Source organism: Homo sapiens, chromosome 4 (assembly GCF_000001405.40).
Source record: "Homo sapiens chromosome 4, GRCh38.p14 Primary Assembly".
Taxonomy (NCBI): domain Eukaryota; kingdom Metazoa; phylum Chordata; class Mammalia; order Primates; family Hominidae; genus Homo; species Homo sapiens.
Genome location: NC_000004.12, coordinates 121895660 through 121923192, shown reverse-complemented (window position 1 = coordinate 121923192; position 27533 = coordinate 121895660). Strand labels below are relative to the sequence as shown.

At 37.2% G+C, this 27533-nt stretch overlaps 1 protein-coding gene across 8 annotated transcripts in view; it reads left to right on the top strand.

The window, feature by feature from the left end:
• Positions 1-27533, top strand: part of TRPC3 (transient receptor potential cation channel subfamily C member 3) — a 77580-nt gene that overhangs the window by 28868 nt on the left and 21179 nt on the right. For 3 of the 8 annotated variants that reach the window (XM_011532218.4, NM_001130698.2, NM_003305.2), the window contains 7 exons: positions 8249-8413; positions 11100-11316; positions 12806-13039; positions 15626-15890; positions 18676-18871; positions 20132-20341; positions 23498-23581. In XM_011532218.4, coding sequence (XP_011530520.1) covers positions 8249-8413; positions 11100-11316; positions 12806-13039; positions 15626-15890; positions 18676-18871; positions 20132-20341; positions 23498-23581 — 1371 coding nt within the window. Of the gene's footprint in view, positions 1-8248; positions 8414-11099; positions 11317-12805; positions 13040-15625; positions 15891-18675; positions 18872-20131; positions 20342-21590; positions 21639-23497; positions 23582-27533 lie in introns of those variants that run through there. The other 5 variants (XM_017008578.3, XM_011532217.4, XM_047416116.1 and 2 more) reach the window with 4 other exon arrangements.

Here is a 27533-nt window from a genome sequence, read left to right as displayed (position 1 = left end):
TCATATGGCCCCTTCCACTGATCAGTGGAACCTAAGCCAATGTTTGCACCCTAGCAGCAAGTGAGGATGGGGAAATCTCTCTCTCTCTCTCTGTGTCTCTTTCTCCTCTTTCTCTCTCCCCTCCTCTCTGTCTCTCTCTCTTCTGACACACATAATTCTACTACCACAATGTAGAAAACTTCTACACATAGTATTTGCAAGATTTTGGTCAACCATTAATGGCAGATCTCTTCTCTACTTCATAAGATAGTCAAATGTGAAGATTCTCAGTAAAGATTGAAATAAAACAACTTTTCAAGGAAAGTATGTTACAAGATAATTAAATTGGCTAGATTGCCCTCTCAGAGCATTCTTGCTAGTTGAGGTTTTGTTATTAATATATTGAGGGAAAAGGATAGTTTTGAGCAAGATTGATAGTAAACTGTTTTTTAGAAAATTGTCTAGACATATATTCACACATCCTGCAATATGTATCTCTTTTCTTTGGCACCTGAGAGAATTGATTTCAATTGTCACTGGTTTTTTATCATTGCTTTGGAAGTGTTATATGAGCAGAGACACCTCATCTACACTTGTGCTTCAGTCAACTAAACTGCCTTGCAGAGTTTATGTCTTCCTGCATGTCAATTTTAAATAAATTGGCATGTAGGTTACAAAGTATGAGGTGTCGTTAGTAATAAATTGGTATCAGTCAACCATCAGGCAACAACAAAAAAGTTAGAACTGTAAGGAGATTTAGGACTTTTGCAAACTTCTGGTTTTGTTTGTTTTATGCTATAAAAGGAGTATTAATTAGAGTCTTTGATTTGGAATCTTCACTCAATAACTGTATGTAAGAATTCTATTCTAGAATAATAAATGTATGTAAGAATTCTGTTCTAGAATAATAAATGTGTGTAAGAATTCTATTCTAGAATACTTGCAAAGCCCCAATTTCTCCTTTCTTTCTTCCTTTCAAAGGCTTCCTTCATGGCCGGGCACGGTGGCTCACACCTGTAATCCCAGCACTTTGGGGGGCCGAGGCAGGTGGATCACGAGGTCAGGAGATCGAGACCATCCTGGCTAACATGGTGAAACCCTGTCTCTACTAAAAAACATACAAAAAAATTAGACGGGCGTGGTGGCAGGCACCTGTAGTTGCAGCTACTAGGGAGGCTGAGGCAGGAGAATGTCATGAACCCGGAAGGCGGAGCTTGTAGTGAGCCAAGATCACGCCACTGCACTGCAGCCTGGGCGACAGAGCGAGACTCCGACTCGAAAAAAAAAAAAAAAACAAAAAAAAACCCAAAAAACAAAGGCTTCCTTCGTTTTCAGTCAACACTCACCCATCTTCATTCTCACAGGAGGAAAAATATCACCCCACCCACTCCTGCTGCTTCCTTTTCCCACCATCTCATTTCTAGTCTCCAAGCAAAACCACGTCTTGGGTTATAATGATGCACAAACCCTGCCCACTCTGGCACAGAGGTAGTCCACAGCCATATGCAAGCCATTGGGATTTCAAAGTAACTTTATATGTTATGGACTCCCCCACCCCCTGATAACATAATAAACTCATATTTATTCAAATCAACCCATAATTCCACCAAGGAAACCATTCTTATCTAATTGTAAGCCAATATTGGCCGCATATGAGACTCAGGAAGTCTTTTTTTTTTTTTTTTTTTTTTTGAGACGGAGTCTCGCTCTGTCGCCCAGGCTGGAGTGCAGTGGCGCGATCTCGGCTCACTGCAAGCTCCGCCTCCCGGGTTCACGCCATTCTCCTGCCTCAGCCTCCCAAGTAGCTGGGACTACAGGCGCCCGCCACTACGCCCGGCTAATTTTTTGTATTTTTAGTAGAGACGGGGTTTCACCGTTTTAGCCGGGATGGTCTCGATCTCCTGACCTCGTGATCCGCCCGCCTCGGCCTCCCAAAGTGCTGGGATTACAGGCGTGAGCCACCGCGCCCGGCCAGGAAGTCTTTTTTCTACCCTCTGCCCAAGACCTACTCCCAGCTCTGGTTCTGAGTCTATTGTCTTCTAACTGGGCTCAGGATTCCCAGAGATCTGGTCTTTCCTAGAAATCAAGGCATGAGTTCAACACAGGCCTTACAGAACTCAAGGACAGTTAATCCAGAAAATGAATATATAAAACACCAGAATAGGAGATACATGACCGTGAATTTAATGTTTATGTTGGAAAGGACTTTCTCATATAAAAGCGAAGAAATCTCCAAGCAAAAATGCAAATAATCTGGCCACATATAATTTAAAACCTCTGTATGACATCAGAAAGATTATAAACAAAAAAGTGAAGGGCATACTAGGAAAAATGTTTTTTCGATTGTATCTCACAAAAGATTGATCTTCTTAATATCCCAAGAACTCAAACAAATTTGTAAGGAAAACATCCAGGGCCCTGTAGAAAAATCAGCAAAAGATTTGAATAGGCATGTCACAGAAGAGAAAATTCAAATGGCTAACATGCATATTTAAAATTTTCAGACCTTTTAGTGATAAACGTATACTAATGTACAAATACCATTTTCCTTCTCTTAAACTAACAAAGAATAAAAATTTACAATTCTCAATGCTGATAGTAAAAGAGCAACCATCTGCCTGCATCTTTACTAACAGGGAATGGATTTTGAAGATTATTCATCCTAAAATCTGTTTTTTTTTCTTTTTTTTGAAATGGAGTCTCACTCTGTCTCCCAGGCTTGAGTGCAGTGGCGAGATCTTGGCTCACTGCAACCTCCACCTCCCAGGTTCAAGCAATTTTCCTGCCTCAGCCTCCCGAGTAGCTGGGATTACAGGCACCCATCATCCATGCCTGGCTAATTTTTTGTTTTTTTAGTAGAGACGGGGTTTTACCATGTTGGCCAGGCTGGTCTTGAACTCCTGACCTCAAGTGATCCGCCCACCTCAGCCTCTCAGAGTGCTAGGATTATAGGTGTGAGCCACTGCGTCCAGCCTAAAATCATTTTTAAGGGGTCTGTAAGGTAAATTTTAAAACTGGAAGGATAGTGAACACTATTACTATTTATAGAAATACCTATATTATTCTTTGAAAAGAGAATGGAATACACTGGAAGATGAAATTTGATTTTCTGAAAATGGGTACAAGAAAATTAAATTTTAGGCAAAAACACTAATTTTGTTTAATTAGAATAATGGACTATTTGCCCCCCACCAAAAGTCTTGAGTTCTAATTCTGACTCTACCTCTATCCTGCTCTGTGATGTGCAGCTGAACATTAATCCACTCCCCACCATAGAAATAACCAAAGTTCTACCTACTTCACCGTGAGCTATGTCTATTTTGAGAAAGTTTTTGACAAAAGATACTAGAGCTTGGTAGACCACTGAATCTGGAAAACTGGGCTCTCAGAAAGAGAAGGAGAACATTTCCTGAGTTCTTCGTTTCTGCTCTCCTATTAATATTTCCTCCATAGTAGGATTAGATTTAAATGTAGAAAAGCCATCCTAAAAAGAAACATGCAGCAGTATAAACAGGATAAAAGCATCCATTGTGTATCCACTTTCTGTGCAAAAAGTGTGCAGGGGAAGCCCAGAATTAAAGAAATGCAATGAGAGAGTGGTAAATACACCACTGAGACGTTGGAACGGGTGTGCTGGCCGGCACAGTCCTGTGTCCTGCACTGTGTGGCCTCTTGTCCTGGTCTTCCCCAGGCACCAAGAGATAACAGAGCATTTTGCACTCAGCAAGTTTGAAAATCCAGAAAACCTGTGCAATATAAGTTTTAGGTTTATATTTCACAAGTCATTGAGTTTTTAAAAGAAGTTGAATTGCCTAGTTTTTATTTACAAGAATATGTTCCTTTAAATTGTATGAATTGTGGCTCTAACAGTATCATTAAAAACAAATCCAGAGTTCCTACCATGATTTTACACAACAGTATTCCCATGAAGACAGTTCTTGTGAAGGCTGATTTGATGAAAAACAGTGTAACATGAATTAATTTTTAAGTTTAAAATTTGATTGTTTTCCCTAGCCTGCCCTGATCAGTGGTTCAGTTTATAATCTATTAGTTATTTGGCAAGAAAAAACATTTCAGTTGTTCTCAATGCTGATTGTCCAATTGAAAGATTGAGATTTTCTTGTGTCAAGCATTCTCTCTTTGAATCAGAAAACTCAAAATAAGGGTATTATTTTTGTTATGACTTCAATTTGCTGGTCCACTGAAGTTAGGAAACAGCATACAAATGTTATCCAGTTGGGCATAACTGGTGTAGTGACATAAGGAGATTTTTCAGGAGGTAAAACACTTTTCAGGTATAAAGGTCACTGCCCTATTTCGAAGTCATTGAAAAGACCAAAACTCATCTCCTAAAGGGATTAGCTTTTTTGCCTTCACTTGCTATTATTGTACTGGCTTTACTTTCTTTTTTGAAATGCTCCTTGTGTACTTGCATTAGGATTTTACATCATTGGAGGAAAATCTGTTTGTGTGGATTAAATGGAATCGACAGAATCCATGAAGTCGTGTATAATTATCTCAAAAAAAAGAGTAGAATTAGAAGCATAGGAAATAGACCTGTTAAGCTGAATTTTAAAGTGTAACAGGCAAAATGCAAACACCCACAATTTTGGTTACTACTTAATGTAGAGTAAGTGTTTGCACTGTAGTACAGGTTACATCAAGTCAAAGATTGACCATCACATATATGCCATATGGGAAGGATTGAGTCCATCAAGTCTTTGAAGCTGTGCAATCTTTATAAATATGTAATTAATGACATAAAGCACATCTTCAAATTTAAAAATTAGTCCAAGGAGGAGGAGTAGGAAAGGGAGATATGCTATAACATTAATATTTCTGTCCTCAAGAGTTTAAAACCTAAGAACGACTAGTGCCTTAGTCCGTTTGTGTTGTTACAATAGAATGCCTGAGATGGAGAGACTTATAAGAACAAAACTTTCTTGTCTCATAGTTCTGGAGGCTGGGAAGTCCAAGATCAAGGCACCAGCAGGTTTGGTAGTCTGGTGAGGGCTGCATCCTCTAGAGGGGAGGAACACTACGTCCTCACATGGCAGAAGAGTAGAAGAGCAAGCTAGCTGAATGCTGCATGAAGTCTTTTTTATAGGCGTCTTAATACCATTAACAAGGGAGCAGCCCTCATGGCCTAATCACCTCTTGAAGGCCCCACCTGTTAACTCTACCACATTGACAGCACCTGAATGTTGGAGGAGACACATTCAAACGATAGCTACCAGACACTCACAAAAGGGAAATTTGTCCATCAATTCCATATAGACACATGCCCACCTGTCTCTTAACTTCATGGGAATTTTGTTTCCTACAGAAACTGTTGGTCTAAAAACTACATTGTTGATTTCCTAAGTGGTAATCTGATTTAATGACATTATATGCTCCACCTGTAGTTTACCCTGAATGCACCATTATCTGTCCTAAGCTTAGCCTGGCTGCAGCCACCAGGGATGCCTTTTATTTATATCTGTCTAACTTCCCACAAATGCAGATCCTCCAAATATCAAGATACTTGTACCAACATTCAAATTAAGACTCTTTTAAATTCTGATTAGGCATCTTGACAAGCCTATGAGTTGAAGTCTCAGTTATAATAGCTTATTTTGTGTCTATTCAAAGCTTACTGTGTACCCTAGAACAATGACCTCTTATCACTTAATTCAACTCTGATGCTTCCATTTTTATCTTCTTGTACCAATACACTTGCCCAATATACTGCCTGGATCATAGGAGGGGCTTAAGACATTTTGATGAGTGAATAAATGAATGAATGAATGAAGGACATTTAGGGACCATAGAGGGAGAGGTGAAGCAGGAAGGAAATGATCTAAATATAGTACAGGAGCAGAAGTGGAAGTTTGGAGAAGTTCTCAACAAGAATCCTAGAAAGTTGTCACATATACCCAGGAAGCCTTCAACTTTGATATTCGTGAGTTCAAATAATGATTGCATTGGTCTATGAAATGCTGTTTTCAAAACTTAGAACCTTGGAAAAGTGACAAAATCCTGGGTTTGGAGAGAAGATCTAATACATCCTTAGCAACTAGCAGCTACTGAAAATCAGGACCTGGGATTTTGAAAACTGAATGGAAAGGAACTCGCATGATAAAATATGCTTCTTAGTTCAGGCTGCTGTAACTAAGTACCATAGGCTGGGTGGTTTATAAACAACAGAAATTTATTTCTCGGCCAGGCGTGGTGGCTCATGCCTGTAATCCCAGCACTTTCAGAGGCTGAGGCGGGCGGATCACCTGAGGTTGAGAGTTTGAGACCAGCCTGACCGCCATGGAGAAACCCCGTCTCTACTAAAAATACAAAAAATTAGCCAGGCATGGTGGCACATGCCTGTAATCTTAGCTACTTGGGAGGCTGAGGTAGGAGAATCACTTGAACCCGGGAGGTGGAGGTTGTGGTGAGACGAGATTGTGCCATTGCACTCCAGCCTGGGCAACAAAAGAGAAACTCCATCTCAAAAAAAAAAAATTATTTCTTACAGTTCTGGAGGCTGGAAATCCAAAATGAGGATGCCAGCATAGTGAAGATCTGATGAGGGCTCTCCTCTGGGTTGCAGACTGCTGACTTCTCATTGTATCCTCACATGGTGGAAAGAGCGAGCTCTCCTGCCTCTTCCTATCAGGGCTCCAGTCTCATTCATGAAGGCTCCTCCCTCATGATCTAATTACCTCCCAAAAGCCTAGCTTTCTAATACCCATCACATTGAGGCTTAGAATCTCAACATAATAACTCAGTTAATTATTTCAAATCTAATATTCATAAATTTATTCTCACCACCTCTGTCTGTGGGTCGTTAAGTACGCATGTATGGTGATGCGGAGGCAGCTGCCAGTGCAGCCATCAGTGGACTTTACACTGGGTGCACTCTGGGGGCAAAGGCAGGGATTTGGGGGAAATTGAACCTACATCGCCTGTCCTGGGAGATGAGACTTTCTTTTTTAATTAAAATTGTTGATGGGAAACTATGCACCAGTCAGTGGAAACCTGTGCATTTCCTTGTAGGTGGGCTTTGATAAAGAGCCAAATATTAATAACTCTAGGAATTGCCTGGAGTTACTAAGAATCATCAGGATTATTAACTAGAACTTGATCAAAGAGGAACCTTTTGACAAGTAGGAACTGCAGCTACTCTGTTTCTCAGTTCCCAAAAACATTTCATGGGTGTTTCTTAACAGGTTCATTGTTATTGCTTATTCTGTTTTTTAGAAGACAGTGACACCTTGATTTTTGTGTTGCTAAGAACTCCTTTAAAAAATATGTTGTCACTCATAGTTGATTTTTGAATTCCTGAGCTTGGACAAAGAGCATATGACCATTCAAAAAAAGGTGTGTCTAGCTACAAATGGGCAGATTTTGGCATAGGGACCTTTACAAGGGCCTGAGTACAAATGCATTCTGCTTCTTGAATAAGAACAGGGCTTTAAAGAAATCCCAGTCCTTCTAAATGATGCAGGCAGATAACTTAACAAAATCAAACGGGAAAAAAAAAATCAAATGGCTGGGCTGAAATAAGTATAATTTGCTCATTTTTCCTGATTAGAATTGTATTTATTAAAGAACTGCTGAAGATAAATAGTCATGTTCTTTTGACCTTTTGATACAGGAAGCAATAAAAAAGAGGACGGGAGGGAAGTGGCATTTGGTGCCAGTTCCTGGAAGAAGTGCATGTGTAGACCCAGCATAATACTTGCAAGTTCAATTGATTATTTTTCAGGCCTTTTACAGATTTGCAGTAATAGTACATAATTACACAAAGGGTGCATTATGCATTTTTTTGTATGTAGCATTTTAGGGGTTGCTCGCGAAACTTCACACATTTCTCTTTTAGCTATAGCCTACAATAAACCAAGTAACTTTTCTTCTTTTCCATTTTGAACTGAATGCAAGTAAGCTGGCCAACAGCAAGATGGGACACATTTTTACAAAAGAAGCCAGATGTCACCCAGATTCCACAGAGAAATCTGTGAATCATGGAGGGTTTCTATCAAAAAGAACTGTGATTAAGGACACCACCAATTTTACCTTCTCATTTCCATTCTAATTCTTCTATTAGTTCTGAAACAATTTTGAAAAATGGAGGGAAAGCTAAGAAGAATATTACCAGAACCTTCCAGTACCAATATGCTAGAAAAAATATGCTTTAATATCTTTAGGATGCATGTGTATTTAATAGTTGAGCTATTGACAATGGTATGGTAACTTACCTTTCTCTCCCCTTCTCAAACTCTCTCTCTCCCAATAGTTTGTGGCTCATCCCAACTGCCAGCAGCAGCTCTTGACGATCTGGTATGAGAACCTCTCAGGCCTAAGGGAGCAGACCATAGCTATCAAGTGTCTCGTTGTGCTGGTCGTGGCCCTGGGCCTTCCATTCCTGGCCATTGGCTACTGGATCGCACCTTGCAGCAGGGTACTTGCTTTCTACATCTATTTCCTCTGTGGTGGTGTACTGTGTCTCTTTGGGATAAAAAAATAAAAAGCTTCATGCTTAAGAATCTTATCAGTTTTACCCTGAATGTTAATTGATTCAAGAACACAGATTCTCCTTTTTAATTACTGGATCAATTCAAATAAGGGATGAAAAAGGATTTGGTACCAGTGGGATATACCACATTTGCAGGCATAAAGTACTTAGGCTTTTAAGATAAAATCCTCATGGTAGACAGAGAAGGAAAAGCTGCTTGAGTGAAGTAGCCCTTGTACTGATTTTATTGACGGCTTAATAAGTAGAGTGTCGACTGGGCTGGCCTGTGAACAGACCGGGGAATGGAGAGCACTGCTGCAGTAGTACCAAGAAACAGTTACGCTGGGAACTAGAAGGGCAACCCATTTGGACCTGTCAGAAGAAATCCAAGGTTAAGTGTGCGAAGCACAGTTGAGAACAGCAGTGGTATCCAAAGTCTTCAAGAAAATGCATGTCAGGTTCCCCTAGCCCTTTGTTAATTCAGACAGTTCTTAAAAATGTAGGATTTAGGTTCAGGGGTTTTAGATTTTTTTAGATTGTTTATTTGGTTTTGCTTGGATCATTTTGGTTAGTACCTTTATTCTCCTCTCAACTTTCCAATGTAAAATCAATTTAGTTGTGCCCAAGAGATCCCCTAGCAAGATGTGGAAAGGAATACTATTCATGCCAGTTATTACAGGCACTGCCAGAGAGAAGGAGCTGTGCTGAGATCCTTTAATCCTGTTTTTATATTCTGAAATTTGGTTTTGTTTAAGTCAGAGGTAGTTTCAAGGCAAAATGAGTCAAGGGCACTTACAAGTGATCCTGGAAATCTATCATCTCTCTGGCTCAGCAGTCTCCACCGGCAGAGTTCTGCTCTGCAAACACCATATATGTGTGAGAATATTCATCCATCTCATTTCATCATTGAGTTGCCCATGCAAATTAAGGCAGAAAGTTTGTCATTTTGATCATGTTTGATGACTCAGCCAAGTTCTTTTGTTATGTATCATGGAAAATTACTTTAAGATTCTTCAAATACGTAAACACTAAAGATGAAAAACTATAAATAATATGAGAGAGCATGCAATAAAAAAAATCATATCCTACCCAAATAATTTTCTTTTCTGAAGGAAATGAGTTGGAAAGTTCAGGTTTAGAAATGTTTGTCTCTTAGGGGAACTTAATCAGTTAAAACATTCCATCAGGTTTGAAGTAGCCATCTTGGAGTCCACTTCTTTTTTCCCTGCACTTTTACAAGTACAACTAACAGTGTGGCATGCTCTGCAGAGAAGGGAAACATGGAAGTTGAGCCATTCCCAGAGCCCATGTTTAGAGCTGCCGTATACCACCTATCTTATGGAAAAAGGCAACATAGCAAGAATTTTCCATGTATGTCCCATTTTTGAGATTGGCATTCTGCTTTCTTTTCATGTTATTTAAAGTTTTAAAAGATTGACCTTTAGGAGAAACAGACTTGGTAATTCCCAAGAAATTTCTATGTGCTACGGATAAGCTACCCCCAAACGTGCCCTTTTTGCAGCTGTGTAACAACAAGGTGATGTGTAAATGTGTTGTTTATTCTTCTGTGTCTAACATGGAAAATGTGACATTCGTCTGTGTGCATTCATGTTCAATCCCAAAAATCCCTGACATCTCTTTCATCATTTATTGACATCCCATTAAGGTTCTAGACCTACAAAAACATTTGTTTGGAGTTAACAGTCCCTTAAATGTGAACCTCAGTACTTTATAAGGTCACAGACAGAGTTAAAAAGCAGGGTCTGAGAGTGTAGAAAAGAGAACATACTTGATAAATCTACCAAATGTACCTAATTCTTGGACTGTGGGGGCCCTTGGGACAGGAGGAATGGTTTTTCATTTTCACGGGAACGTGGGACTTTTAAGGACATTATATCATAGGGGATTTTAAAGGAGTCACCTTAAAATAATTATATACTGAACTTTGGAAGTCCCTTTGTACCATTTACATGATTATCCAACTGGGAGATCACTTTCAAATAAGTTAACCTACTTAGAGGTTTTAATTATTGTGTATCTCCTTATTAGGGGCAGTAACAGATACAATATTCATCTTGGTTCTAATATTTTCTGCCTTTTTTATAGCATACCAGGTATAACTTGATTTTGGAATATTTAGAAATGAGAACTAAAATTTACTTCTGTAGTAGTAATTTTTTTAATCTTCAAAGGGTTTTTAAGGTCTTATATGAGTCTATAAGATCCTCATAACATCTCAATTACAATTACAAAGCAATGAAGAATTACACAATACAAAGTTGAAATTTCTTTTTCCAGACCCTAAAATCCAGACTTTGCATATTCTTTTGTGTAAAAATAAGAGCAAGAACCAGTATAGGCCCTGTGATTTCCAGAAGTGCATCTGTGAATGCAGTCTACCCTAAGACAAATTGGACATTTAGAAACAATGAATTTTGAATACTTATTAAATTATTTTTGGAGGAAGCATTCCCCTAAAAAAGAATATTTTTCATAATATAAAGCTTTTTGGAAACAGAAGCAGAATTTTGAGTGTTCTCCTTTCATCTATTTTTTTTAATCCTATGTTGTAATCTCCACAAGTGAAAGCCAGATTTTCTGAAGCAAACTTTTCCTCTTTGGTTTGTTACAGCTGGGGAAAATTCTGCGAAGCCCTTTTATGAAGTTTGTAGCACATGCAGCTTCTTTCATCATCTTCCTGGGTCTGCTTGTGTTCAATGCCTCAGACAGGTTCGAAGGCATCACCACGCTGCCCAATATCACAGTTACTGACTATCCCAAACAGATCTTCAGGGTGAAAACCACCCAGTTTACATGGACTGAAATGCTAATTATGGTCTGGGTTCTTGGTAAGTCTTTTATTTTAAATATCCTAATTTCTACCAAAAGGTAATTATAGAAATAATTGTCATTTTCTATTGAAAAAAAATGTTATTATATCTTATATGGTGACAACATCACTGTTGCAAGATAAGCTAAATAGCAAAATAACCAAATAATTTTCTAGCTAGATAATGCCAAAAGGTGTCCCTTAACACTACATAAAATTTTTTATGAGTAACGTGACCCTAATTACAAATATACTATGTTTCAGAAATCTAACTTCAATTATTGAACAAGATGTAAGTTTTAAAATGTAACTCACTGTGATTATTTAATTGAAATACTTATGAAATAACCCAATGGCTATCAACTGATGACAAATACTTTCTTTGTTGTTTTAGTTCCAGAGATTTTAGGAGAGTTTTCATTTTCAGAATGTTTGTTATTAGGTTGGGTACAAAAATAACTGTGGTTTTTACTATTTTTAAAATGGCAAAAACTGCAATTACTTTTGCACCAACCTATTTCGTCTTACAATAACCCATTTTGAATAGCTGTGTTAAAATAAGAATTTGAAGTAATGTGAGGAAAAGAATTTATTGTGTTCTCTGCTAAGAAATGGAGATTGGAACCAGGTTGTTTATTTCTGATTAATCCGAAGTCATTTTTGTATTTGTTTTATCCAATGTGAGTCTTGGTGTCTTCTCATTTTCGGAGTTAGTAGGTTAGTTCTTCCTCCCATTCACTCCTGTGGCCTCAGCCTAGGTCAAGTAATTATTTTATACATTTTCTTTTAAGCCATTACATTTTTTAAAAATTCTACAGTATTTTCCCTTTATGTAGTCAGGACAATTTGTTAAGTTGGACAATTTGTTAAGTTGTTAAGTTGTACTATTTTGTCCTCTTGTCCCAGAATGGCATTTTCTGCTTTCAGTTTCTTCAGAATGTCCTAGGACCTCTCACTTAAGGGTTTCATCTTTTTCAAACGATATTGCTCACTTTTTAGCATGACATGGAAATGAGAAGAGAGGATAAGAGTGTGATATGAGTATCATTGGGAAACTGTTCTTCTTGTTAAAAATCTTGTGGACTTATTTCTCCAATAATCACTATGGTTTGATAACTAACCATTGTGATTGTATAGAACATATTTTCTTCTCCAAAAGTCTTATGGGATAACTTGAAGAGCCTTCTCTCCTTATTTCCTTTCCTTCTTTCTTCTCCTCACCCCCCTCCACCACCTCCTCTCATGAATAGAGACATCTCTGGTGCCACATGTGGACCGCTTCTCCAAATTCTAGTGTGGTGGGGTGAATTATTTTCTTAGCAGGAGCTTCTTCCATTTAACTCTGCACAGGGCCTCAGTGACCATACAGTCAGTCAGTCAATGCTTTGTGATGCCTAGTACTGTGCTTGACGTGTAGGGTAGAGATGTGACCTGATGGTGGACACAATAATGGCTTCTCAGTCTGGCCTGTAAAATCTGACCTGCACCCTCTGTATTTGTTGTGACAGGAATGATGTGGTCTGAATGTAAAGAGCTCTGGCTGGAAGGACCTAGGGAATACATTTTGCAGTTGTGGAATGTGCTTGACTTTGGGATGCTGTCCATCTTCATTGCTGCTTTCACAGCCAGATTCCTAGCTTTCCTTCAGGCAACGAAGGCACAACAGTATGTGGACAGTTACGTCCAAGAGAGTGACCTCAGTGAAGTGACACTCCCACCAGAGATACAGTATTTCACTTATGGTAAGTTGTTAGCTTCAGGGTCCCCTTGTGTTTTGGGAAAGGTATTGGAACCACATTTTGGAAGGAAATGCCAATTGGAGTATGTTTAGTATGAGAGGTGTATTGAATATTTATGGACAGTGGAGAAAGCATGAACTTTGGAACCTACAAAACTGGATTCATTTCAAGGCTCTGACCCCCTTTGCTGTGTAAACTTGTTCAAGTCAATTTGCTTCACTGTGCCTCAGTTTTCATAGCTATAAAAAGACAATATTGCAAGGTGGAAGAAAATTACCTTTAAGCCTATAAGATAATTACTATTGGGAGACTGTCTTAATTAGGGAAAAAATAGTTTGATAAACTGCTTGATGTGGAAGGTAAGTCCCTGAGAGCATGGGTTCAAGGAGATAAGATAATAAAAGTTGCCAAACTGCTCTGCAGGCAAAGTGAACGGTAATTCAACAGAGGCAGGAAGTAGGTTCTAAAGTGACCGTGAGAATGTAAGCTCTGGAGAACCAGCAGAAATATTTTGGGAGGATGTTGTCCTGTTCACATGGCATGGAATGGGGTTCATGTCAAATATCTCTATATTATGAAGAGCAGTGAGACCTCAGCTGACATCCGGTGTGAAAGAACATTGATGCCTTCCTTGCCCCGTACAAACCAATGGTAAGTAATGTTAGCCTCCCTTCCCTTGAGGCCAAATTGAGGAGCCACAGTTAGCAAATTTGGATATAGTTGTAAAATCTGAAATCTGGAAAATACTTTAGAAAGTGTTGTCTAATCTTCATCTTACAGGTAAGGGAACTCAGGCACAGAGTTTAACTGTGATCTGGTTGTGAAGAATACTTTTTTATAGGTGTAATTAGGGCACATTGTGATGAGTACAAGGAGCATGTTAATGTTATTGAAGGCTGGACTTCCGCTCCAAAATATAAGATGTAATTAAGCACCTCTGTTATTCTCAGCAAGCAAAGACTTTTATATACCAAGGAGACTTGTTCAAATGAGCAAATGATCACCATTTGTAATTAAAGAATTAATTTTAGATTGTATTTTAGGTATCTTGACCATTTCATAACCTATTTATTGAAATTTATTTATGTATATTTGATGACTGTTGTCTGGAAGGGATGGATTCAGGCTTCCCTATCTCCTATATGTATTGTTTTGATCAATTTTTAATCTTTCTAAGTCTGGTTTCTGCATCTCTAAAGAGAGGATAATAATATCAAATCCATAGGATCATTGAAAGCAGTGTCTGACACATATTAAATAGTCAAGAAATGTTAATTTTTTAAACTTTTTTTTAGATTCAGAGGGCACATGTGCAGGTTTGTTACCTGAGCATATTGCATGATTCTGAGGTTTAGGGCTAGGAATGACCTCATTACCTGGGTACTGAGCATATACCCAATAGATGTTTTTCAACCCTTTCCTCCTCCCTCTAGTAGTTTTCCAGTTTCATTGTTGCTATGTTTATGTCCATGAATACCCACTATTTAGCTTCCACTTATAAGTGAAAACCTGCTGTATTTGGTTTTCTATTCCTGCATTAATTCACTTAGGATAATGGCCTCCAGCTGCATTCATGTTGCTGCAAAGGACATGATTTTTGTTCTTTTTTGTGGCTGCATAGTATTCCATGGAGTATATGTACCACATTTTCTGTATCCAGTCCACTGTTGATGAGCACCTAGGTTGATTCCGTATCTTAGCTATTGTGAATAGTGCTGCAATGAAGATGCAAGTGCATGTGTCTTTTGGTAAAACAATATGTTTTCATTTGGATATATACCCACTAATGGAATTGCTGGGTTGAATGGTAGTTCTGTTTTAAGTTCTTTGAGAAATCTTCAAAGTGCTTTCCACAGTGGCTGAACTGATCAACAAATGTTAAGTTTTGTTGTTATTGCAGATGTCTGCAAGTTTGCACAATTAACCACATAATATTTCATTGACCTGACAGGTCTGCTGCAGACTTAATAAGTGACCTTGAAAGGGTTGTTAGGGGTCCTCATTCTGAATCTATATCCAAAATTCTTTTACTTCAGTGGCATTTTACATTTTTCGGGGACAAGTTATATTGCTGAGATAACACATCGTCAGCACCATTGTGATTCAGTGACATTCTCACTCCTCGAAATATTTTATTTGCATGAATTGTTGGATGAACTAATTTTCCCACAAGATATGGAAAAGAAGTTACACTCCGGCTGTGCCTATAGGATGACAAAATAACTGGTCAGTAAATCTAATGACTGAAGGGACAAATCAGTCAAGTCAGTTGTTTTGTCATCCTGGATACAGTCTGTGTCTAACGAAGTGTTTTAACCTCTCCATGTTTTGTATTTTATTCTGTTTCTGCTGAATGTGGAGTCAGCTTAGTATCTTTATAATAGTGTACCCTCCATCTAAAGTAATATAGAATTTACGTTTCTGGTTTAAGATGAAAATAGTCCCTGGACAGTTAATTAAATCTAGATTAGTTTCAACTGAGATGGTAACCACCTACCTACAAGATAGATCCTATTTAAGGTATTTGCTTTGCGTAGTTGGCAATGAATAGAAAGCTCCATTTTTAATCTCTTTCTCTCTTTTTTCTAGCTAGAGATAAATGGCTCCCTTCTGACCCTCAGATTATATCTGAAGGCCTTTATGCCATAGCTGTTGTGCTCAGCTTCTCTCGGATTGCGTACATCCTCCCTGCAAATGAGAGCTTTGGCCCCCTGCAGATCTCTCTTGGAAGGACTGTAAAGGACATATTCAAGTTCATGGTCCTCTTTATTATGGTGTTTTTTGCCTTTATGATTGGCATGTTCATACTTTATTCTTACTACCTTGGGGCTAAAGTTAATGCTGCTTTTACCACGTAAGTAAAATATCTTATTATACAGGTATGATAAAGAGAAATTCTAACCAATCTAGAGGAAGCAAAGGAAAAATTTCTCTGATTGTAATAAAGATGTTTTTAAGCACAGAAAATAATCCATCAAAAACAGTTAGTGCTTGTGTTGATTATATTGCTCTGAAGGCTCATCTCTGAGCTTAGTGAGAGTTTGACCACAGAATGGGTCAGAATTTGGAAAAACCCTAGACAAAACTGGCTATTTTAAGAAAACAGGATAACAGATTTCTAATACTGGATGTCTCTTACATTATGTATAACATTAAAATTAGTTTCATCATTTTGTAGCCAGTACTCTTCTTTCAAAAAGGAAGCATCAGCTTTTATTTTAATATATTCATTGATCGGTACAGGAAGTCGAGTAAGAGGAAGTTATAGCTAAACATTTTATAGCCCACTATCATGGTAATACCAGTTTCTTCCTTTGGCCATACTGGTTTCTACACTGGAGACTCACCTCTTCCATGAAGTCTTCCTTGATCAAGTTTCCTTAGTCATTTTCCCTTCAAGTTCCTGCAGCATGGAGACACCCAGATTGTGAGATCTGTTCTCACCCAGTGGTGTTTGGTTGTCATGAATATAGGGCCCCCCTTCTACTGCAGTTCTTCCAGGTGGGAAGGTCATAAACCCTCCCTGCTCTCCCTTTGTTCCCAATAATGCCACTGCTGGAAACAAACTATACACTCAGTAAGTACTCTATAGACTAAAGTAGCATATCAAGCCCTTGTAGACATCTCAATTGTTCTAAAATGAATTTTTTAATAGTTAATATAGAACAGGTCTTAGAGGTGAAAGAGACTTGAAACTTGCTTTATTGTAATGAAGAAAAAAACCTGTTTGAACCCAGCAGGGAAATTACAAAGAGATCTTGTACACAATGTGATCCCTGCCCCCATTTTCCTTTTAACTCTATGGTAACTCATTTTATACATTCTATTTTCTTCACTGTTTTGTCTAGGGATGTGACCATTCAATGTAGTAGAAAGGACATAGGCTGAAAATCATGCAGACGTGGATTTGAATGCAATCTCTGCTGTTTCTAGCTGTGGCTTTTGGTTAAGTTCCTGAACATTTCTCAGTGTCAGTTTCCTTATTTTTAAAATAAGCACAATAAAGTTTAAATAAGGTCGTTGTGACAATTATGTAAGGTGAGTTATATAAAGCCTCTTGCCCACAGTAGGAGCTCAGAACTGCCAGTGTCCTTTCCTTTTTTACTATCCCCCTCTTCCCACACATGCACTCCATATAGATTCGAGGAGAAGCTAGGGGCAGCAAGGTTTGCAAAGGAGCAAGAGGAAGGAGCGGGAGAATTTTGTGATACGGTTAAATAAATGGTAGGAACAAAAAGATTATAGTTTTTCTTACTCTTCTGTCAGCATCTACGCCATGATATCACACAGCCAAATGTTTTGTAATAGAGAGTAACTCTATAGGAATAGAGTTCTATTCAACCCTCCATCCTCAGGGTGTAGCAAAATTTCTGGAACATAATAGGTGCTCTGTCAATATTTGTTTTATGAGTGAATGAATAAACTAGTCCTAAAACCTACAAATCTATAAAATTCATTGTTATTTAGGATGTGTTATAAGAAACTTAAAACGTACTTTTTCACAAATCTTTCTCTGAGAAAAGAAAAGACTTACTTTTGAAGGTGTAATGGAATTTTATGTGTGTAAATCTTTAATTTAATGATTACTAATTTAGTTCACTAGTGATTACAATTTGGTTCTGTGACAAAACCACCCAAAGATGATTTAAGGGACGAACTTAGGTAATTAGTCTGGTGAGGACCTAAGTGCTAATTGTTGTGGTGGAAGAATCGGGAAGTACATTATATAAATTAAGGGAAAAGAACAGGAATCTTTCATTCTGCTGCCTCCTCTTCATTTCCAGTTAAGTATTTCTAGGTAGGTAATGTGTTCCTATGATAAAAAATTTAAATAGAGAGGCGTCTACAGGGAAATGCCTGTCCTTCTCCCTACCCTTGGCCCAGTCTCTTACTTATCCTTAGTTCCCAGAGACAATGGTGTCTTTTGGATATTTTCAGAGATTTTTTTATATAAAAAAGAATATAAGTATTTGTATGCCCTTCTTTTTTATTTAAATGATAGAATATTTCACACTTGCTATATCTTATTTTTTCATTTACTGTATCTTTGATATAATTTTATATAAACACACAAAGCTCGATCTGTCTCATTTTCCTACAGTGACTGCATAGCATTCCATCATCTGGATATACCAGAATTATTTAGCCTGTCCCCTACTGATGGATATTTAGATTACTTTCATTCTTCCCTACTGCAAATGATGCTGCAAGGAATATGTTTTTACATACTTCTTAAAAATTGGGTATATAATTTTAATCCCAACCCTGTTCTACTACAGAAAACCTGATTTAAATTTCTAAATCACATACAAAATCAAACAGCAAATTCCCATTTTTGTAGGAGAAAGGAATGGTTATTGTGACTTGACTTCAGCTTTCTCCTGTGGAGTTCAGAGAATTTTCACTTGATGATAACTTCAGAAAAGCTAGGCATTGGCACCATTTAATCATCAGTTCCTGAAAACCTGAAAGAATAATTTTTCTATGAAATGTCATAACAAAGTAATCCTGCTCTTGGAGTATATTATGGTGGCATTTTACATCTGTACAGTAGTTAAACCCTAACTTGTTTTTTACTTTTCACTCTTAGATATTGAAAACTGTTAACTTACTTACTTTGTATCTTATTTTTTCAACAGTGTAGAAGAAAGTTTCAAGACTTTATTTTGGTCAATATTTGGGTTGTCTGAAGTGACTTCCGTTGTGCTCAAATATGATCACAAATTCATAGAAAATATTGGATACGTTCTTTATGGAATATACAATGTAACTATGGTGGTCGTTTTACTCAACATGCTAATTGCTATGATTAATAGCTCATATCAAGAAATTGAGGTAAATCGGTTTTCTATCCATAGTATCTATCCTTGTCATCCTATTCTGATAGTACACATCTGCTTCTGTACCCTGTGGCTGAGCTCCAGCTCATGTAACAAAGAGGCTTATATCCACACAGAGCCTGAGCCTTTCCCTGTGTTTTCTACCTGGATAGATAGCTCTACACATTCTGCTGTCTTCTAGGTGCACAGCAGGGGTCCCCATGAATTTACTGCTGCTCCGCCTTCTCTCAGGGTATATTTCAGAAGTTTTGAAATTAGTGGCTAGAAGAAGTATTGGCCCTAAGGAAATTACTCTCTCTTCAATTAGCCAGCCCACAATTCTACCTGGTAGAATGACCAGATGTTTGGCAAACACTAATGGTATTCTTTATCCAGTCAAAATTTTGAGTATTCTAGAAATCACTTGATTCTTGGTTTTGGATTGGGCTGGGTTTGGTACCTCTCTTCACTGTTGTATATATGTTTTCTTATGTCCTTCAGTTCAGTTTTCAGTATCTTTTTAGTGCTTTGCAGTTTGTTAACTCCACCAAATCTCTATGTATGTTTTAGAAACTCATAATATAGTGTTCTCAAAGTAGAAGTTTTGGTCCTAATGGCCTTCTAGGCTGTGTGAACTGAGAGAGCCAGCTTCCTCCTCATAAGGACCCCTTCCCTTCATTTCTCCTATCAGTTAGGGTGGTTATCTCCATCACCGTGGGCAGCACAGAGAATGGAAGGAGATGTAAAACAAGTTCAGGCACTCAGGGGCTTATGTGACATTTGGGGACATATGGTAAACACAGAAATGCCGAAAAGCAATTCATCTGAGAATCATTTTTCCCCTTGCCCTTGAAATATAATATGCTGTGTCTACAGCCTGGCTTGGATAGGTATAGGTGAGGAAGGAGGATGGGAAATAGGCAACTATTGTCAAACATGCAGAATTGACTGGGTGGGGGACAGAGGGAGGAATTAATCATTTTATCCTTCCTTGGCACTCTATTTTTCTTGTCTTTTTTGCCTTGTTTTTGGATGTTAGACAGGAAGTTCTGGTTAAATTTCAGTGGGTACAGGTAGAGGCATATGAAAAAGAATGAGTATCTTATATTTGAAAAATGAGAATATTGTGTAGGTCTATAGAATATATGTAGATAAATGTGTATAAGTTACCTATTTCAAAAACGTAACTTAGATTCATTGTAAAAAACCTATTAGCAACAGTCACTAGAATATTTAGCATTTAAAATTAGTTTTTTTTTCTATTTTTGTGACACAGGATGACAGTGATGTAGAATGGAAGTTTGCTCGTTCAAAACTTTGGTTATCCTATTTTGATGATGGAAAAACATTACCTCCACCTTTCAGTCTAGTTCCTAGTCCAAAATCATTTGTTTATTTCATCATGCGAATTGTTAACTTTCCCAAATGCAGAAGGAGAAGGCTTCAGAAGGATATAGAAATGGGAATGGGTAACTCAAAGTCCAGGGTAGGTATCGAAAACTTACCAAGACCTTAAAATAAATGTTCTGTCTTTTTTTTCTTGTCTTCTGATGTTTGTTCAATAATTTTTATGTGTGAACTTAGAAGATGTTAAAAGTAACTGTCTAGTCCACAGTCTTTCACAGACTAATACTAAATATTTTCATGATGTTTCAAGAAGTCACTGAGTCGAGGCCCTGCTTTTGATCAGAACATCATATAAACTGCCAGATTAAAAACAAACAAAAAAGCCTTTAACTTGTTAAAAGTAACCAGAAAAGTCACTGTTAGAAAACACTTTGTTTTTGTATGTTCCATGCTTCTCAACTGTTATTCTGAAGTTAAATAGTTTAAACTTCTAGCCTTCTTGGTTTATGTATAGTTCACCACCACCATATTCTCCTTTTTTGTAGAAACTTTTTATTTGACTAAATAATCTTTTTTCCATTAGTGTCATAAAATAGATACAGGCCCAAGAGCATCCTCAAATAACCATAAATACTCATTTTATAAATAAGCAAGAAACCCTTGAGTTATCTCAGTTGAGTCATAGTTTAACAAAGAAGATAATTTTCATGATCATACTTTGTTATCATGAACTAACTTTCAGAGATAGAATGGTATAGATAGAAGGATGTGAGTGAACCTAAATAATAGGGAATGAGGCAGACAGGAACAAATGTGTAGAGTTAAAATATAACTTTTTCTAAAATTATGAAAATGGTCTGTAGCTATAACATCCTAAAAGCCCACGAGATATCAATGTTATCCCCATAAAGCATAGGCCTTCCTGAGTGAAGGTAGATATTTTTTCTCGTTGAAACTAGGCGAAAAAGTTAAGATTAGTGCAATTTAATTTATTGCTTTTTAAAATTGTTGTGAATCTTCAAGAATTGTATTCTTTAAGAAAGTGACCTTTTAAATCTTTTTTTGTTTGACCTGGATATGGGCTCTTAAGGCTATTGAATTACAAGTCAGCGATTGGTTGTGACAGCCCATGATTTAAAATAATACCTCATGTATGTAGTGAGAAGCAGTATAAGACAAAGAAGAGAGCTTCGACATTAGACCTGGATTTGAATTGTGGCACTTAGGGCTTATTAACAAGGAACATGGATAAATCACTTCACTACTCTGAGCCTTAATTGTCCACGAATTGTAGACAATTGTCTAACTTTGTAGAGTTGTTGTGAGGATTACATGAGATCTACAAAATTCCAGCCTCAACAAATATCAGTGCCCTTCCTCATTCACAGTTTACAAAGTGCTTTCCTGTACATTTGAACCTCATGCAACGCTGTGAGGTAGGTATTATCATTATTCCCATTTTATAGATAAGACAATTGAAGCTATTCAGATAATTTGCTTATGCAAGGTCACATTAACTGACCAGTGTGGGGTAGGTGCAGAATTCAAGTATTTTAGCATCAGATGCCTAGCTCTCTCTGCGGCACCTGGATGCCTCATGTTCAGCACCTGAGTCCACCCTTGGTTACTGGCCCACTTCCTCTCAGCGAGGTGTACCTTCAGCTGTGCGGTAGCTGGTCTCTTAAAGGAGCCAGGCTCTAGTTGTCATCCTGGGCAGCTCCTGCTGCTACTGAAATTGACTTTGCTTTGAGGGACTTTTGTTTTTCTGGGGATTTATTAACTGAAGCTTTATTGCAAAAAAGAAAGTCTCTCAAGTGTGGGAGCTCACAACTCTTGCACTTCACAGAACACACCTTGAGTTTTCTTTCTGTAGGCAACAGGTCTCACTGACTTCATTCCTGATATTATCATAATGTAGAAGGGAAAATACTAAACGTCAGGTTGAGAAGAGCACACGCAGTAGGCTTGTGGCTACCTAGACCACTGTAAAGAAAATACAGCCTGTTCACAGGAACAAGAAGGAAGCATTACATTTAGGCTGTCCTCTCCTGCCTGTATCGTACCATTGACAGGAAAGAATAGCTTTTCTCAGAGAAGATGCTGGAAATAGAAAGTTGGACACTGATCTCTCAGGAGGCTTGTTCCTCGACTTCCCACTCTTCCCATATCTGGTTAAAAACTGCCACAATAAATAATAAAATTTTGATTTCATTTTTAAAAATTTTGCATATAGCTGTTTACATCTCTTTAATATTACTCATATTCATAGATACTCTTCATGTATTGAATGCAGCAGAAATTTGGAGAAATTATACTTTTCTATTTCTCTTTTTTAGAAGAGAGGAAGGAACCTCAAGAAATCTTTCCAGCTAACCTAGACAGCTAACCTCAGTCAGCAATCAGATACTGGCCTCCAGTGGCCGATTGGAGAATTAACTTTGTTAGCTAAGGTTTTCTCCAGGCACAATTGTAAGAGAACAAATGAAGGTCCTTGCCTATCAGTGGCACTTCCTTATCTCTTAGCATCCCACACCTTCCTGAGTTATAATGGTGGGAAGTTAGGTGGTGAGGTAAATCATCTCTTTGGCTAGAGGGCCATGTGTTTGAATCACACCTTACAGTGGCAGAGCTTGGCCACAGATAAGAGGCCCTGCTCGTATACATGAAGACTAGGTATTACCTGTGTGTTCCTCTTGCTTCCTGTTCCTACCCACTCAAAAGCTAAACCTTAAAAAGAAAAAGAGAGAAAAGAAAAGGAAACCAAAATTCTTTAGCCCAATTCTCTCCAAAATTGTGAACCTGGCTTAGCATAAGGCCAAGATGCTTTGGAAGATGTGTTATTTTGGCTAATATTTTAGGGCTGCAAAATACCAAATGGTGCCATCTGAACCTGCAATATGTTTCTATTCAAATCTAGAAGAGGAACTTAGGCTCAGGAACAGATCAAACTTCTATGGAATTTGGCCTTCTAGATGCCTTGAGTACATTTTGATAAAGTATACAAGGTCCCCAGGGAAAATTATGTTTATTATGAGCCAATTTTTAACATATATTTTCCATTAAATAGTTCTATTACAGTAGTACATCCTGCCAACATTTTGATAAATGTGAGCATATTGCTCACAGTAATTTTAACCTTTGGGAATATATTACATCACTTACAAAGCTCAACTTCCACAAAATGTTTCTTGGGAATGTTGACTCCAGAAATGTTATCAAGGAGAATAAATGGATTATATTTTTTATTCCAAATGAATGTATTCTAATTTACTAGGTTAATTGTATTTTTTCCTAGTTAAACCTCTTCACTCAGTCTAACTCAAGAGTTTTTGAATCACACAGTTTTAACAGCATTCTCAATCAGCCAACACGTTATCAGGTAAGCATTCATTAGACGTATCTCTTGATCTCTATGTGATTCCATATATGTCTGCGTGTGTGTTTGTGTGTGTGTCATGAGTTGAGTTATATTCTTGAGATATACCATTATACCATGAGGATAGTTCAGAACAAAGAAAATGATTCAACACCTGTGAAATTTTTTAAAAAAAAATTAAAAATAAAAGAAAATAGTATGTTAGTTGGAGGAGACTTTAGAAATCAGAGTCCAAGTCCTTCATTTTTTTAACTAAGAGTTCCTCTCACAATATTGAAAGCAAAGTGTTGCTACAATTGCCAAATAATGTATAACTTAAACTGGAGAAAGCAGTAGAAGACAGAGTATGTTAGAATGAATAATGCTCCCATGGCAGGAAAACTTGTTTTTTCTCTAGGTTTTTCTTTCAGGTGATCCATTTTTTAAATGGATTGTTTGGCTATACTGTTTCATGAGTGCTACTTTAAAATATCTTTTGCATTTTGATACTGGATGTGACATTTGAACACTATTCTCCAACTCAGGGGAAGTTATAGCCCTTTGTTTTTCATCTCGTTGATCATTTCGATCATCAAGTCTTTGACTTTCTAATGTGTATAAGTTCACAAAAGTGACGATCAAGGAATTTATAATATATTGGTGATGTCCGTTACTGCGTATTGTTCTATTTTTTATCCAATTTTTTTAGAAGCAGGAAACCACAAAATGGCTCAGCCCACTGATTGTCAAAGTCTTTTTTTTAAGAAAATTTTTGTAAATTTTACATATTTGTTTATTTTTGTTTTATTGGTTTTGTCTAACTTTATTTTTAATTGATAAATAATTATACTTACTCATTGTCTACATAGTGATGTTTTGATACATATGTAGGAATCAGATCAGGGTAATTAGCATATCCATCATCTCAGACATCTATCATTTCTTTGTGTTGGTAACATTCAGTATCCTCCTTCTAGCTATATGAAACTATATAATATTAATATATCATTGTTAACTATGGTCATGCTATAGTGGTATAGAACAGTGGTCCCCAACCTTTTTGGCACCAGGGACCGGTTTTGTGGAAGACAATTTTTTCACAGATGGGGTGGAATGATGGTTTCAGGGTGAAAGTGTTCCACCTCAGATCTTCAGGCTCTTCAGGCATTAGATTCTCATAAGGAGTGCACACCCTAGATCTGTCACATGTGCAGTTCACAATAGGGTTCACAATAATAGGAGAATCTAATGCCGCTGCTAATCTGACAGGAGGTGGAGCTCAAGCGGTAATGCTCGCTTGCCAGCCTGTCACTTCCTGCTGTGCAGCCTGGTTCCTGACAGGCCACGGACAGATGCCAGTCCTTCATCTGCGGGTTGGGGACTCCTGGTGTAGAACACTAGAAGTTATTCCTCCTATCTAGCGGTAATTTTGTATCCTTTAACAAATCTCTCCATATCCCTCCCTACCCCTTACCCTTCCCAGTCTCTAGTATCCTTCGTCCTACATTTTACCTCTGTGAGATCAACTTTTTTTAGCTTCCACATATGAGTTTATGAGTTAGAACATGCGGTGCTTAACTTTATGTTCCTGGCTTATTTCACTTGACATAATGTCCTCCAGTTCCATCCATGTTGCTGCAAATGATGGGATTTCAATCTTTTTTATAGCTGAATTGCATTCCGTTGTGTATATATACTACATTTTTTATACATTCATCTGCTGTTAGACACCTAGGTTGATTTCATATTTTGAATATTGTGAATAGTGCTGCAATAAAACATGTGGGTGCAGTTGTCTCTTTGATATAATGATTTCTTTTCCTTTAGATAAATTCCCGTAGTGGGGTTGCTGGATCATATGGTAGCTCTATTTGTAGTTCTTGGAAAATCCTCCATACTGTTCTACATAATGGTTGTACTAGTTTACATTCCCATCAACAACATATTAGAGTTCCCTTTCTCTGCATTCTTACCAGCATTTTTTTTTTGTCTTTTTGATAGTAGACATTCTAACTGGAGTGAGATGATAACCTCATTGTGGTTTGGTTAGTGATGTCGAGCATTTTTTCATATATCATTGACCATTTGTATGTATTCTTTTGAGAAATGTCTGTTCAGATTATTTGCCCATTTTTAATTGGAATTTTTTTTTTTTTTTTTTTTTTTTTTTTTTTTTTTTTTTGCTGTTGAGATGATTGAGTTCCCTGTATATTCTGGATATTAATCCCCTATTGGATGAGCAATTTGCAAATATTTTCTCCAATTTTGTAGGCTGTCTTTTCACTGTTGTTTTTTCCTTTGTTGGTATGAACCAAACCAAGAAGCCTTTGGTTTGGTATGATCCCATATGTTTATTTTTGCTTTTGTTACTTCTGCTTTTGAGGTCTTGTTCATAAAATATTTTCCCAGACCAGTGTCCTGAAGCATTTCTCCTATGTTTTTTTCTACTAGTTTTATCATTTCAGGTCTTACATTTAGGTCTTTGGTCCATTTTGCCCTGATTTTTATACAAGGTGAGAAGTGGGAGTCTAGTCTTATTCTTCTGCATATGGATATCCAGTTTTCCCAGCACCAGTTATTGAAGAGACTGTCCTTTTCCCAATGAGTGTTTTTGGCATCTTTGTAAAAACTCAGTTGGTTATAGACACATGGATTAATTTCTGAGTTCTTAATTCTGTTCCATAGGTTTATGTGTCTTTTTATGCCAGTACCGTGTAGTTTTGGTTTCTACAGCCTGGTAATATATTTTAAGGTCCGATTGTGTGATACTTCCAGATTTGTTCTTTTTGCTCAGGATTGCTTTGGCTATTTGGGGTCTTTTATGATTCCCTACAAATTTTAGGATATTATTTCTATTTCTGTGAATAATGTCATTGGTATTTTGATAGGAGTTGCATTGAATCTGTAGATTGCTTTGAGTACCGTTGTCATTTTAACAGTAGTAATTCTTCTGATCCATGAGCATGTGGTACATTTCCCTTTGTTTGTATCCTCTTCAGTTTCTTTCATCAGTGTTTTGTAGTTTTCCTTGAAGAGGTCTTTCATCTCCTTGGTTAATTTATACCTGAGTATTGTAAATGGCATTGCCTTTTTTATTTTCTTTTTCAAGTAGTTTGTTGTTCGTGTATAGAAATGCAACTGATTTTTGTATGTTAATTTTGTATTCTGCTACTTTACTGAATTTGTTTATCAGTTCTAAAAGTTTTTTGGTAGAGTCTGTAGGTTTTTCAATGTATACGATCATGTTGTCTGCAAACAGGGACAATTTGACTTCCTCCTTTCCAATTTGGATACCCTTCTTTCTTTCTCTTGCCTAATTGTTCTGGCCAGAGCATCCAATACTATGTTGAATAAGAGTGGTGATAGTGAGCATCCTTGTCTTGTTACACTTCTAAAAAACCTTTCAGCTTTTCCCAGTTCAGTAAGATGTTAGCTGTGGGTTTGTTGTATGCCTTTATTACATTGAGATTCTTTCTTTCTATACCTAATTTATTAAGATTTTTTATCATAAAGGAATATTGAATTTTATGAAAAGCTTTTATCATCTGTTGAGATAATCATACAGTTTTTATCCTTCATTCTGTTGATGTGATGTATGATGTTTATTGATTTTTGTATGTTGAAACATCCTTGCATTCCTGGGATAAGTCCCACTATCAAGTGGGATTTTGATGTGATTTTGGATTTGGTTTATTAATATTTTATTGAGGATTTTTACATCTATGTTCATCAGGGATATTGGCCTGTAGTTTTATTGTGTCCTTATTTTGGTATTGGGGTTATACTGGTCTCATAAAGTGAGTTAAGAAGAATTCCTTCTGCTTTAATTTTTTCGATTAGTTTGAGAATAATTAGTATTAATTCTTCTTTAAAGGTTCAGTAGAATTCAGCAGTGAAACCATTTGGTCCTGGACTTTATTTTATTTTTTTGGGAGATGTTTTATGCACTCATTTAATCTTGTTACCTGTTTTTGGT